Source organism: Homo sapiens, chromosome 15 (assembly GCF_000001405.40).
Source record: "Homo sapiens chromosome 15, GRCh38.p14 Primary Assembly".
NCBI lineage: Eukaryota > Metazoa > Chordata > Mammalia > Primates > Hominidae > Homo > Homo sapiens.
In genome coordinates, this window is record NC_000015.10 from 39,391,516 (window position 1) to 39,406,956 (window position 15,441).

General features: G+C 41.0%; 1 long non-coding RNA gene across 1 annotated transcript in view, besides 1 other annotated feature; it reads right to left on the reverse strand.

Moving 5' to 3' along the window:
* Positions 1 to 15,441, reverse strand: part of LOC105370777 (uncharacterized) — a 556,255-nt gene that overhangs the window by 526,710 nt on the left and 14,104 nt on the right. The gene's annotated exons all lie outside the window — the stretch shown is intronic.
* Positions 2,453 to 2,747: an enhancer, noted in NCBI's record as "tiled region #6993; HepG2 Activating DNase unmatched - State 8:EnhW". NCBI's record gives its function as "activates a minimal TATA promoter and a strong SV40 promoter by Sharpr-MPRA in HepG2 cells {active_cell/tissue: HepG2}" and the evidence as "EXISTENCE:reporter gene assay evidence [ECO:0000049][PMID:27701403]".

The window sequence follows — 15,441 nt, forward strand, 5'->3', positions numbered from 1 at the left end:
GAATGGGTGCAGCCAGAAGGTTGTTAAATAATCAAATTTTCACTGCCTTTTACAAAAGCCAGAGCTCATAGAAGCTGCTGCCTTCAATTTTACAGGGTTCTAAGCCCTAAGGAAACAGATAGCATTACACATACCATCCTTAAATACAAACCCAGTTGAGACATACATAGTTGGTGTGGAGGACTGGGTGCCCTCACTTTAACACTGAGAAACTGCCAGGAAATGTACAGCTTAGCTAGTACTAATTAGTGCTGATCCAACACCCCAAATACAGTAGGCATTTAAAGCATTAAATCACAAAGAAACTACCACCTCATCTCTAGCTTAGACTGTTGAAGTAGCTTCATTCCTGCTATCCCTTCATTCTTTACCACCTTTCAACCCACTTTCCACCAGCAGCCAGCCCCTCTTCTTGAAACACAGATCTGATTGTGTTGTGCCACTGCTCAAAAACGTCTTTGGTTTCCTGATGTTCTAATAAAAAAGTTAAAACGCATGACTAGCTGCCCTCATCAGCCTCATCTCATTCCACTCTCCCTTGCACCCACTAAGCTCTACTTTATCCTTCTTTTAGGTCCTTAACCTAAAACCTGCATGCATCAGGACCTTATCACATGTCATGTCCTTGCCTGAATCACAATCTTCCTCCCCATCCCCACCCCACCATCTTAGCTCATTTCTTTTCATTCACCATTATTTCTGTCTAAATGTCACTTTTTCAGAATTGTGAAATTCTGTGAATACACTGTCTCCTATTATATTTTCTCATACGACTCAGTGTTTCACCTTCAAGACAATTGCAATTAGAATGCAATAATTAAGTATTCAGATCTCTGTGAATGTCTGTTTTTCCTACTAGAACGTAAACAATGAGAGCAGGAGAAAATGACCATCTTATTCATTGCTCTATTCCTGTTTTGTACATTAAATTGTTCAGTCAATACTTGTTGAGCAAATAAGAATGGATAAACATGGTTAACCTTTCTCTGAAAAACGTATTTTAAAATTCTAAAAATCTAGAGAGAATTCAAAACAGGTTTCCTGCTGGACTGACAGCTTATCCCTACATGTCAAATTTTCACTCCCAGGCACAGAATGACCCATTACACTGAGTAGATACTCCCGTCTGCTATCAGATGCCTGCCTAGTGTCACAGCATCTCATCTGCAAGATGACTCACATCTCGTCTGTGAGATAACCTACAATCTGGGTTACATGCATCTGCAGCACCTCATCTGCAAGATAACCCCCAATCTGGGTTATAAGCACAGAACTCATCTCCTCAGGAAATGATATCAAATAATAAGAAATAAATTGCTTGCCTTGCATAAAAAGAGCCATTCAATAAATGTTGTATTATAATCTGAGAATTGAACAAGGCCTATGAAAAAGTCCTGCATTTATGCCTAAAAGTTTAGTTCATGACTTCAAATATTGAAACCCACTTTTTACAAAGTAGTATGTGTCTTTGACTTTTAAAAAGTGCATTTTACCGTGTTGGTTGAGAAAATATAATAATCTTAGTTAGACTCTTCCTCTAACCTCCCAAATCAAAACCAAACCAAAATAAAACAGCACTCTGAGAGGTTTAAGCTGTATATAATGAAGCAAAAGTTGCTGTCTGTACTCCAGGAATCTGGAGTCCCAGAGAAGGTGTGGACATTGTTGGAAATTGGCTTCTAGCCCACAAATCTCTGCTCTGTCCATGTAACTAGTGATAACCATAGCCATAGTCTGCAGATACACCATTGTAGTGCAATGATGGAGGGATAGCACTTAAATATGAAAACAGCAATTAAGAGCATATTTACCATTTTCTTCTTAGTATATATCCTACAAGTGTGCAGGATAGTTTGCTAGATGCTAAAACAACGACATAAAAAATGACAGGAGGGAAATGCAAATAAATAAAGGACAAGCCCCGAAAAGCATTAAGGCAGTAACCAAGCTGAGTAAATAAACACCAGTGCCTGTATTTTTATTATTTTCTAATACCTAGTAATGTGAAGTACAGGTGAGATATGGAAAAATAAGCTTAGTGTTGTGGCAGTTTCAGGGACAGAATATACACAAGAAATCACTTAAAATATTAAGGGAAAGAAAGACAAAATGCACATGCCACAGAGAACAAACAGGCCAGCAAGTCAGTGATAGCTCACACCTGCATATAAACCCTTTCCTGCTCCAGCCACGTCAGACTCCCTTGTCCTCCCCACACAGCAACCAATCCTGAGTGTCCACGGCTCCAGAGGTATGGTTGGGAACCCCCTCTGTGAGTTTTCACAGATGCATCATCCTAGCATAGCACCAGCTGACTTGGTGTCTGACACAGCTGTCAGAGACCCACCAAAATGGCAATATAATACCTCAAAGGACCAGAGGAGTACTGATCAAAAATGACTTGACTTTTCTCTCTTGCTCTCTCTCTCTCAATCTAAGGATACACACATCAGAAAACCTGAAGAGTCCCTTTGCTTTTCCTGGAATTATATAACCAACTACAGTTTCGGAATATATCAAAGCAAGTTCTTATCAAATACCTTATCTCTGGGTTTGTCTTCCACATAAAATATGAGTCACAGTCAGGATCAAACTATTGAAGTAAACTTTGTCCACACTGCAGTTTGCTCCTGCAGGACTGTGCTTCATGTCTCCTCCAAGCCCAAGTCAAGCTAGGTCTCTTGGGTTAGACCATATGCAGTCCTGAGTTTACTTTGGAGGTCACCCCTCAGCACCTGTGTACATCCAGACAGAGGCAGGAAGAGAGAATCAAGAGTGGAAACTGGGATCATCATCATCCCCTCGGAGGTTACTAAGAAATCAGATAATTGGAGAAACTTGGATCTTATTATTAGGAAAGCCTATGTTATCACTCCACAACACTAGCAGCTGGTTGCTGCCCAAATTACTGATGGAATTACCTGTCGTTCTGTTTCCACCATTGTGGTTTAACACTTTTGAGTTTTAATGTTTTTTCAGTCTTAAAAATACCCATAAAAAATGCATTTTGTCCTAGGAGGGACCACACCTCACAGCTTCATTCAATGTTTACTTGAAACCTGGAAAGGTCTGATACTGAGATAAGGAGATCAAGAAACAAATTGTGTTTACTTCCAATTTTTTCTCATAGTTGTAGTCAAAATTATGCCACTATTCACTGTGAGACCTTGGGTGGATTGCTTAATTGCACCAAGCTCAATCTGGCTGTCTTTCAAAAACAGAGATTTCAATCTCTTGCCAATATCACAAGATCATAAAATCTGCTGTGTACATATAGGTACCAAATGTAATTTAAGAAAATATAAAACATGGTATTTCCTTTAATGTTTGAAAGTAATTTAGCAAGGGGCTTGGTAAGCATCTAGGTGCCATAAAAAAAATGCAGTGAAAGGCAGCTGCCTACATTTACAGCAGAAGAGATGAGTGTGAGTTGGAGAAGAAAAGGCTCTTCATATATCATTTTAATTATTTCAATGTTAAAGTAATAAAATAATATATTCTTATAAACATCAAGCATATGAAACAATGCAGCATGGTTAATATGTTCAGAGTCAGGCAGTCTTACAGTCAAATTTCAGCACAAACCCCTGGGCCACGAGACCTTGGGCAAGCTGGTTTACTCTGCAGCGCAGTGTCTACACCTGTCAAATGGGGAATACAGTAGCTTTTGTCATAGGTGCTCCACAATCAGCAGAGACGCCACTAAAAATGGAATGTGTTGATCTTCTGAGAGTGTAACAATGGAAGGAGAAAGAGGAAGGAAATGGTCTCAAATGCAGCTCCTATATGGACCCATTCATTCAGCTTCTATTCGGTCACTCACTATGTGAGAGAAATCAAGCTAGAGTTTGAGAGCTCATCTTTAAGTAAAGGAGCAAGACTTGCATACAGAATAGCTTGCAATGAGTTCAAAGCCAGGGAAGAGGGTGGAGGGTGTCAAGGCTACTTCTCAGAAGGCGGGGACCAACAGTCGAGCCTTGAGTGGTGGACAGAAGTTGACCAGGGGGTCAAAGAGATTAAATCCATTCCAAGCACAGGGAAGGGCTGGTACAAAGGAACAGATGGGAACAGAATGTGGCAGCTGGCACGGTCTTCCTCAGTTCTGAGTCTAGGAATGAGTGCATTACCTGATACACTCAGATCTGGTGCTCAGTAATGTGTGTGATTGAGAACAGGAAGGAAAGGAAAGCTGTTCCAGGTGTGAGAGTGAGAAGAAGGACCACAGAATGAAGAAGCCTGAGATGAATATATGAGGAGCAGAGGCATGAGATGAGGAAAATAATCGAGACCAGCACTGGCCACGGCATAGCAGGTGGCATAGAGGGAGCCCTGGATGTGGAATCCAGAGACTCCTCCATGTTCCTTTAGCCACTAGCTGCTAGCATGGCCTTCAGTAAGTCATCTTGATATCTCTTAATTCCAGTGCTCTCCTCTATAAAATATGGGAGCTAAGCCTGTTGAGCTCTGAGATCTCTTTCAGTTCTGTTCAGTTTTAAAAGCATTTGCTAACCTTCTACTCAGTGCTGGGCACCATGCTAGACACTGGGGATTCAAAGATGAATGATATATTGTCCTGGTTCTTCTCCACTTGCTGTTCCCACGGGTCAGATCCATTCTCATCCCTTCTCCAGCAGCCCAAGTGCCCTCCATCTCTGAGGCTGGCTATGATGATCACAGCCTCTTTCCACAGGTACAGCTTCTGCCCAGCAGCCCATTTTCTGTGGCTCCAGACCTCTCTGTGATTCAGTAACACCATTTTCCCCACTTGCTCCTCCAGACCCACATGTGCCAATAGCTGCTCACTTTGCTAGTGTCTACCTCAACTTCCTTTAAACCTGCACTAAAGCATGCTGTATAGCCTTCATTAAAATTTCTTCTGTTCAACCATGTGAGTGAATTCTATTTGTGGCAGGCCCCTAATTAATACAGAGCTTAAAGTGCAATTGGAAGGGGAGAACTATCAATATTTCATTTATCCCAATGTAAAATATCATAAGAAAACCTAGGAGGGAGCAATGCTGGAAGACTGAAGAAGAGAGGCTCCAGAGGAGTGTTTGTAGAGAGTGAGTTCCAAGATTGGGGTGGAAGAATTGATGATGGACACAGGGGTGAAAGAATGGAACCAGAGAGAGTTTATTGTTACTGTTGCTAATGCAGCTATTGTTACATTAAAAACAATTTTCAAGAGGTGCAACCCAAAGATAAATAAAATCTGTCATACCAGAATAAAGAGTAGCACATAATTGTGTATGAATGATGGGACAATAGGCATAATTTGAGAAGAGGTATAATTTCAGCTGTGAATGTGAACATGGGTTGACTTTTGCTGTTTTACATAGATGGATCATTTTCAGTGTTATCAACTAAGTGTGCAAATTCAGCAATTGAAAATGCATGCAAGCTCTGTACAAAAGACAAATTCTTTACATAGAATAAAAAGTCAGCTGGGAAGCCAAAATTGACAAAACCAACAACTTCTATACCAAAAGCAATGAAATGTATTCTTAACCTCTGATACTTAACATTGTGATTCCACAGGCTGGGGCAGCTCCTCACTTTCTCCACTGCCACTTGTGCTGTCATCAAGAACATGATAGCTTCCTTTGTGGTCTTTGAAGGGCAGATGTTTCACTCCCCTGCCTTGATATCACCCAAGTTATGAGCAGAGTAAGAAGATGGACATTGCGTCACAGAACCAGCGATAGCAAGCTAACACGCAAGGAGAGCCAGCAATGTGGAAGTTCAGGCCGTTGGTTTGCGTCATATTGGAGTGTTCAGCTCGGAGACCTGGAGGCCCTGTGACCTTTTCTCATGGGACAGAATAGGGAATCATTATCATAAATCTAGCCACAAAAGCAAAATCACAAGTCAATGAAGAATAGAGACATCAAAACCCTCTGATTTTAGATCTTAAGCAGTTATCTCATCACTCTGAGCCTCAGCTTCTTCACCCATAAACCAAGGTTAATAATACTTACTTCATGAGCTTATTGACAGGATTCAATGAAATCATGTAAGTACAAGCCTTAGTCTGGGGTGTGCCATGCAATTGGCCTGCAATATGGCGACCATAGCTCTGCTGGTATGACTCCAACGTACTGGACTCAGACAAGCTCTTCAAGGCCTACATTAGGTTAGGCCCAAGGGTTTTGAGATGGTCCAACATGATCCTCATCATTTTCAATCTAGAAAACATTCAGGTATCCCCAGCTCTCAGAGGGCTTCAAGCAGTATTTTCAGGGCACCATAAAGTCACAACTGCTCCAAAAGCACCTCTAACCAGCCGGGCAAGTCAACAACCTCCTCTCTTTTCTAACTTGAAAGTTCCATTATTTGAGTCATTCCATTATTTGAGGCTCCCACAGCTGGATAAGTAATGGCCAGGCATCTTACACCTTTTCTGTTCTCTAGCTAGCTAGCTATCTCTGTCACACACACACACACACACACACACACAAATAAGCGCGTGCTCGGAAACCTGGACACACACATACACAAGCATTAGCCAGCTATCTGTTTGCACCAGAAATGATCAGATTGTACTGACTCAACCACAAATTCCATTTTCTGCAACCACAGTTGGGCCCTTGATGTTGCTAACCCCTTCACCCCAACCTGGTCTTAACACCTGACTAAGCAGCTAACTCACTGCTAGCAGATGGTCACAATTCTCACCACACTGTGACCAAATCCACACAGGGTACTATCTCAATTCTCTCCTCCTCCACTTTAAATTCAGGGAGCTCCCACCCCTGCCTAGAGTTTTTTGTTCCCTTGCCTAGCAGAAAGTAGGCACCTAGGAGAAGGAGAGCCACAAGGCAGGAAGAAGAAAAAGAAAACTTCTCCAGGCTCAGAAAGGAAAATTCTAGAGCATTAAGAGGAAGTTAAACTGATGAACTGACATTTTAATAGTTAAATTAAACTTAACTTATAATAGTTTCAAGTTAAACTTGAACTGCCATTGTAATAAGCTTCATGAATTGGTCATTCAAAGGTATCTGCAGATTTAAAATCTTTGTTACCCAAAACAGAAATTGAAAAAATACTGAGAACTTGAGAAATCTAAGGGAGTCACTTTTGGGAATAGGATCTTTTATCAGTGACATCCATCCTCTCCCCATTATGGGGTTACCTCCCCATGAGGTTGACCTTACCATATGAAGAGTATTCTTAGAGGTGGTTTTAAAATCCATCATCTTCTAGCTCATGTTAAAAATTATAAAATTACCTGATTGGAATTTAAAAGCTGTATATATTTACAGCCACAATTCTTTGAGTCTAACACCTGTCATTTATTTGTTTTTAACAGCAGCAATGGCCTGGCATATGATAGGTACTCAAGAGATGTTCCTTAAATAAATGAGTGATCTGGCAGAGGAAAAGCTAAGCCATGCCCAGGTGCTTGGAGACCCTCAGCCTCCTCCCTTGAGCTATGTTTGCTGTGAAGATCCAGTAACCTCTAATCGAACAGTTCTACATGAGCACATGCAAGCTGTACCTTGTGCTAGATAGGGAATCATACCCTTCCCAAATTTGCCTGGGAAAAAGCAGAGACTCCAAGCAAGGCGTGAGGTCCCAGGCTGCTGAGCTAAGCCTACTATTCTCATGATCAGGGCAGCTCAGGTTTCTCTGCAGTGGGGAATAGCAAACTCTCTGAAATATCTAATATCAAAACCGTATGCCTTTAAGGTGAATAGTCATGGACACATTCTCCTTTGGGAGAAAAAAGAAAAAAGTTCTACTAAAACTAAAGTCCCAGCTGATTTCCGACACACTCAGCAATGAACAAATTGTTACCAGGCCAGCCTTCCAGGCTAGAGGTTCTGACTTCACTCCCTCAGGACCCTCCTCCCAAGTGGAAACTAACTTATTTTTAAATGTCTGTGTTCCCTGTCAATGCAGGCAGACATTTTAAGGAGACTTTAGACACTATGCATTGTTACATGAATAACCACATCTGCATGCAAAGCAGTAAGAGATACTAACTCCAATAGACCAAATGTGTGCTTTTCCCCATTGCTTTCAACTCCAAGAATCTGAACAAACAGAAAAGGTCATTCTGATCTTTTTTCTTCAAAGATTAACAATAGGAAAACAGGAATAGTATATTTTCTTATGATAAAAGCAGAAGCTTGTTGGCAACTTCTTTTGAATTCTTACTACCAACCACAGTACTGGTGTTAAATTAAAAAATTACTCATGACACTTGTGTCAAAGAACACAATTTCAACAAATTGAGTTTTAAAGATCTAATTGGCTTTTACTAGTGATTCATGAACCAGGCAGCATCCAGTCTACAAAATAGACAGGAGCTCCATTGGAGATGGCAGAACAGTCAGTTTTTGTAAGGTAGCTTGAGCGGGAACAAGGCAACAGCCTAATGCAAAAACTGGATTGGTTAACATCAGGTTACCTCAGGTTACTTTCCTTTATTTTACTACAGGTTACTTTCCTTTACGGGTTAAAGCAGTGGAGACTGCTTTACATGCTGGCTTAGGTGGACTGGGCTTCTTTTGATTGGTTGCTGTGAATCTCTTATTTTTTCAGAAAACTTTCCTGCTTAGGGTTTTGGTTATAATCTCTCCTGATTTCTCCAAAGGTCAGATCTTACAAGTAAACAGCTTAGGTTTCAGTTCGGTGACAGGGAACCTTAGCTTGAGTGACTCCATTTTGGTTGGTCTCTTGGAGCCTGGTACAGGAGCTCAGTCCAATCAATGGCCTACCACACATTTAACACTTGTTAAAGATGGTAATGCAAACTTTATTCAAGGGGCAGGGGACATGGCTACAGGTATAGAAACCACCACAGTGGGGTCTTGCAGTGGGGGAGAGAGGCTGGCTCAACTCTGACTCCAACAAATACATGACAGGTTTTATCACCAAGGAGCAGGTGGGCAGGGGGCAGTGGATAGAAAATTACTAACAGGAAATATCAAGGATAAAGGTTTTCTGGCTAAATCAACTTGATAGGATTATGGCCGAAGGCAGGCCAGGGTGATAAGATATCAAGGAATTCCAAGGGTGGAGAATTTTTTCTAACCTGACTTAGGAGGATTGTTGCTCAAATGGGATTCTATAAGGACACAGGGGGAAGTTCAAGGTCAATCAGAGGACTCAGAGGAGCCTGACTAAAGTTTTGGTCAAGGGAAAGTCTTTGTCACTGGTAATGTAGTAGGTACCCAATAAATAATTGTTGATTCAACAAATCAACATTCTTCCCCAGATCCGCCAGACTAATTACTTCTCACAACAACTTTGTGTGGCAGCACCTATCTATGGCAGTGGTTAAATTCTCCCTCCCTCGGAGCTCATTCTGTATTCTATCAAGTCATTTTCTAACAGAATTCTTTCCATCACTCGTGTACTTTCTTAAGAGTGAGGAAATTAAAACGGGGAGAGAAGGTTCAAGGCCATGAGTCAGTCCAAAGGCAGAGTAGGGAATTCCATTAATAACTTAAAGCACAAATCCACCTTCCTTTGCCATGAGGATGGGTCTGAAAGTGCTGGCTTGTTACTCCAGCTGCAACCCACACATTGCTGTATAGTCATCCCTGTTATCGCAGCTCTTGGGAGTGGGAAACCTACAGAGCAGTGGCGATGACAGTGACTCAGAGAACACATGAGTTCTTGTTGGTTCAAGGACCTCAAGAAATAAAACACTCAAAATCAATGTAATATGTAACACAGTAACCATTTTAACACCCTCCTAATCTCCTAGGGCCAAAGTGGAGAATACCGATATTTGGGATTAGAAAAAGACACTGGATAGCTAATTTTAAGAACAATTCAAGCCCCGTAACTTCACAAGCATTCCTCAATGCTCAGGAAAAGAAAACATGACAAAGAAATATTTTAAGTAGATATTTTCCAGTCCACTAAATTTTCTATTGCAAAATTGAATGTCCTTTTTAAATCTTCCAGTAGCCTTTTAAATATTCGATGACAGGGATGTTGTCTTCAATTTTTTGTTTTTTTGGTATTGCTCCTTGGCAACTAATATAGTTAGTGCCTCCTAAGTTTTTCTGAGTAATTTCTCTAAAAATTAACAGCTATTTTTAAACAGCAATATTCCTCCACTTATGAATTTATTGAATATTTTTTGGCACCTACAGTATGCAAATCACAGAACCAGGCACCATGGCACATGTGTAAGAATAAGACAGCATCTGGTGTGAAAATTAGAAGGGGAGTGCATTCATCATCACCTATCCTAGAAAAGCAGAAACCATTTGTATTTCAAAATAAAAGAAATTTAATATATGGGAATTGATTATACATGTGTTGCAAGAACAAGGAGCCCAGAAATAAACAAGAGCAGGTGCCACTGTCATCCCTAGGCAGGAAAACAGGAGACTGTGCTCCCAGAACCCAAGGGCAGGGACCACCATTAGAGGCTGGAACTGTCAGCTGCAAGGTGGAGTCTCAAAAGAGATACAGCTCCATTGACACAGCTTCCAAAAGCCAGAAGGGAGTGGGAGAAGACCCTGGTTTCTCATGCTAGCACCTGCCATTGTTACCACCCGGTGCGAAACCAGTTGACACAAAAGTCTGGGCAGCTTAGCCCTAAGGTCGGCCCCTGTGATACAGAACAGAGCAGGGAAAGGCCAGGGTTTGAGAGCAAGCAGGCCATACATAGGGAGCTTTGACAACTGTATAACAGCCAAATTCAAATTAGTGCTATCACAGGGAAAGTAAAATAAATATTCAATAAGCTTATAATATTGCCTTAACTGAATTACAAACAACAACAAAAAATAATAATAACCTCATGACATTTGGAAAAAAGATATATCAATTCCACTTAGAATGGCTGATGCTTTATCAAAGAGGCAGCACTCTGGAAATTTGGAGAAAACCAATAGAATTTCAAAAGCTACAGGAGGAATAGGAAGGATTCTACTTGCAAAAGCATCAACACATAGATATTCTGGCATCGTCTGGTGGAACCATATTGAAGATGCACTGAAGTATGATGTTAAGGAATGTAAATTTTTTCTGGTAGATCAGGAGTCACTGAAGATTTAGGACCCAAAATCTTCAGTGACAGAATCACAGCTGTGATTTAAGGATTCATCTGGCAGCAGCATATAAAATCCTTTGGGAATAAAGATGCCAGGTAAAAGGTAATAAAGTCTTGAACCAAGGGGGCATCCACGGAACTACATGGAACGTTCTTGATTTAGTGTTATCCAGTTGGAAGCACTGTGCAAAGAACTAGAAATGGGAGCCCTCCCATGATAGCTTGGAAAAGATGTCTCTGTTGTCTGCATACTTTGGGGCACATATGAAAAGTGATGAGGGTTTAAAGCCTGGCCATGGATAACATTATGCAGAGGGAAAGTCAGAAAAGAAATGTGTTTCATCAAAGGCTTGAGCATAGAAGGAAAGGTGCTTAAGAAGAGAATAGGGGCAGTAGCGGAAGGGGGAAGACCCAGGAGAATATCGCATTTCAGTAGAAAGGGTTTCCAAAAAAAGTGAACAAGCAATTATGTAAAATGCAGCAGAAAAGTCAAGGAGAATGAATATTGAAAAGGGGTGGGAGGACTTTTAACTTTATAGAAAATTTCAGGAAGCATCCAGAACTGAATTTGAAATCAAAACGTCTGGGCTCAAGATACATAAAATAATTTCTCCCTATGTATTACCTCTACTCCCTCATAATTTCACTATACATGTAGTTCTTTGTGTCCTCTTTGACTATTCTCTTCAGCATAATCTTCCAGTTTCTACATCCACTGCTAATGCTTCCATATTCTTGATATTTAAAAAGCAAGTGCATTGTCATGTCATGATGCCCACAGAAGCCAGAGAGAGTAGGGTCACACCATATATAACTGGGTTACCTAAAGACTTGTCCATTAGCATATATTTAGAAGGGGCTATGGGCATCACAAGCAAAGACTGACTTGTCAAGTTAAAGCTAACATATAACTTCTATAGTTAAATAGCAAAATTTAGCAAGCATTTGGTAATAGGCTCGATTAGCATGGTTTCCATTTTTTTCTAGCAATTGTATACAAAGCACTGAAAAAGAGAAAATGCAAAGAAGAATGTATAGAATAGCACATTTATAGACTAGTGTGTTGGCCTCTTCAGAAATCCAGCATTGTAGAGAAGATATCATCCACAGTACTAAGTTTAAACCACTTAAGCTGAAATTCAAAACCCTACACAATTTGATAACAGCCTACTTCTCTAACATTATCTCTCTCTAGCCATTCAGTCAATAACTCAAATTCCTATAATTCAACAAACAAGCACTTACTCCATTCCAGGCATTGTGCCAATCACTACACTAAGCACCCACAAGCCAGGCTGCTCCCATCTAAAACGTTACTACCCCTACTCCTTTACTGACCAGTCTGTTCTCAGCAGGAAAGCCTTTGCTCTTCTCTGTGCATATTGAAATTCCTCGATTATTGACAGCATACTTGGGAGACAGGAGCAAGGCTGTGCAACCTGACTGCTTTGGATTTAAATCTAGTTCCACCCTTAGGCAGCTGTGTGACCTTGGGCAAGTTACTTAAATGCTTCAATTTCCTCCTCTGTCTTCCTTCGAGGAATGTGATGATTAAACACATATATGAAGCACTTAGAAGAGTGTGTCAAGGTATTTAAAACCATACCAGGAATTTAGCAACTGTTTAATAAATGTTAAAAAGTAGTAGTAGTAGTTGTTGTTGTTGTTGTATTGTGATTCTCAGCTGCAGATGCACCTCCTTCACAATACCCCACACTCATAAATCTAACTCATGGTCCATACTCACATGGTTCTTATCATATGTGTCTTTGCATATGTTTTATATCTGATACATTTTTTTGGAGGCAGGCTATTATGCATTTTTTTTCTTCCCTCAGCACACAGCCACATGCACCACAGTCCCTAATGGTAATAGTAAACTGTGTGAGTGTGTGTGTGTGCGTGTGCATGTGTACATGAATTCAGTGGACCCTAAGGAAAATTCTATGGAAGAGGGACAGTCATGGTTCTTCCATCACCAAGAAACATCAAAGTTTGGGGTCACCAAAATGAAGGAAAGTAGCTATAGCATCTTCTTTGCAATAGGCCTTTAATACTGTGTCTATCCTTCTTACCAGTCTGGATTAGTTTAGATTCATTTCTACTAGAGGGCAGGGAATGAACTAAGTAATTTGTAATTCCACCAGTTCACCCCTTCAGAACACCTCCAGATCATCACAACTCCCAATTTTGCTTTGTTAAATGCAGACCAGCTGGGAACCAGCCCAGGACCCTGTATCCCTGAAGTTAACCCACACTCATATTGCTTGGACCAGCTGGGGCTGGCCTGTTTCTGGTGAGACAAAGAGCCAATAGATGATGGTCTGACATGCCAAGAAGTGATCATAGCTGCTTCAGAGGTCATCAGTAAAGAATGTCAGAAGGAAATGGCCCAAGGCAGTAGAAATGCTTTTGCCCTCTTAGATGGTAGTTTCGCAAGCCAATAGACAAATGACGAGCTGGAGCTGGAAATAGCACAGGACTAGTATTAGTGATAGTACTGGGAAACGGCTTTAGCCTGAGGCTGGACCACATATCTTCCACCCCTTGCTGAGAGGAACCACTGCCTAAAACAGATAAGTTTCCCAACATGACTAACTTGAGTGACTATCTTTTTGCCGCTTTTCCCCTCACGCTGACCAGAAATGAGGCATCAATGAAAGTACACACTTAAGAAAAACCTGCTGTTCTGAGCTGCATCCTCCCTGGGACAAATTCTCTGGGGCAGAAGTAGACACTACCCTCAGTTGAGTGGGCTCACCATTTTCTTCAGCCCCTTCTCAAGCCAGAACCAAGGGAATAGAACCAGCATTCTGTTCACTCCTGAAATCTATGTTAACTCCAGCGCTGGATTATCAATACAAATTAAAGTACAGAATTTGAGGAATTACACATTTTGCTTTAATAAATTGAACTGTGGTGAGATTAGCCCTGCAACATCATTGCATTCACTCATTTTCCTGTCTATATGTCACTGTTTCCCAAGTTTTATTCTACAGAATAGTGCCACGAATTATTAATAGGGAATCCCTGAAAAAAAATAAAAGGTTCCAGGTAAAACAAGTTTGGGAAACATGGTCATATGCTTCCTTGAATGGGAGAGAAAGGAAGAGAATGGCAGCTGCAGTCGAGTCATTGCAGGAGCCCTGGGTTCACCATAGGGTGGGCACCACACACAGGCTAAGACCATCAATGAAATGTGTCGGGAGCCTTGAGGAAGGATGCTTCTTTTTGTGACTTTGGGAGGCCTACAGGAACAACCCCAGCATTCCATATTAAAATGCATGTCCAATGTCATATAAAACCAGTCTAAAAACTCCCACTACATTCTTAAAACTCTTATTTTCTAGAAAATTCCAGAAATATGGATCTCTATTAAAGACAATCTTGAAAGAAGGTTAAAAGTTGCCTGCAAGAGTCCTACAAAGAGCAGGAGCGTACACACTGTGGATGATTCCAGACCACCACCTACCTTCCTGTGGTTCTAACGTATTAGCTCTATAAGCAAGAAGTCAGTCATTAAATCCACAGATTGAGAATGTCCCTTTATTGATTCCAGAAGGGAACCTGAAACACAGGTTAAGTAATAACCTGAAGCATAAAGAATTTATTATCCAGAGCAAGTGCTGACTCTTCTGGATCATATTGGAACGTACTCCCTTCCTGCTCCCTCTTTAATTATCATTTTTAACAAAAATCCAGTAGTTGGCCAAAATTCTCTGCCCAGGCAGGCCCAGAAATGCACTGAGGGGTAGAGGGAGAAGACGACTTTCACCCAAAGGGAACAATGCTCCATCACTCTGCTTCTTCATCACACAGGAATATGATCTAATTTAACATCACAGCTAAAATTCACCTTGATATTTATGTCCCTATCTGGTATCTGTGAGGCTAGGGGAAGGGCAGAGACTTTTAGGCCACAGACAGGAGACTGTTGAGGGGGTTGTAGCCGTAATGTCTGCAGACCTGCATTAATTCACTTTGTTAATTTAACCAGGTAATTGGGCTGTGAGTCCTAAGAGCCAAGTTAGAATTCTGGCTCTGCTACTCATCAGCTGTAACAAAGGGCGATTTCCTTCCCATCTCAGTGCTTCCATTTTCTAATACGTAAAATGAGGTGGTTTGTACTAGATGATCTCGTGGTCTCTTGTGGCTACACTTCTAGCCACTAGACCATGGCTCTATGCAAAGAGGAACCACATCTTTCTTGTTCTGTTGTAAATCTAGCACCAAGTACAATTTCTAGAATATAACAGGCACTGAAATGGGTATTTTTAAGTGTATTAACGCTCAAATAAATAAAATGCTAAGTTCAACCCAAAACATGCAGCTAATTCATATAACGTAAGACAGTGTCCCTCTTTTCCCTCATTTTTGTCTCAGCTTCCTAGATGATACCCCAATTGCCCCCTCACCAGATT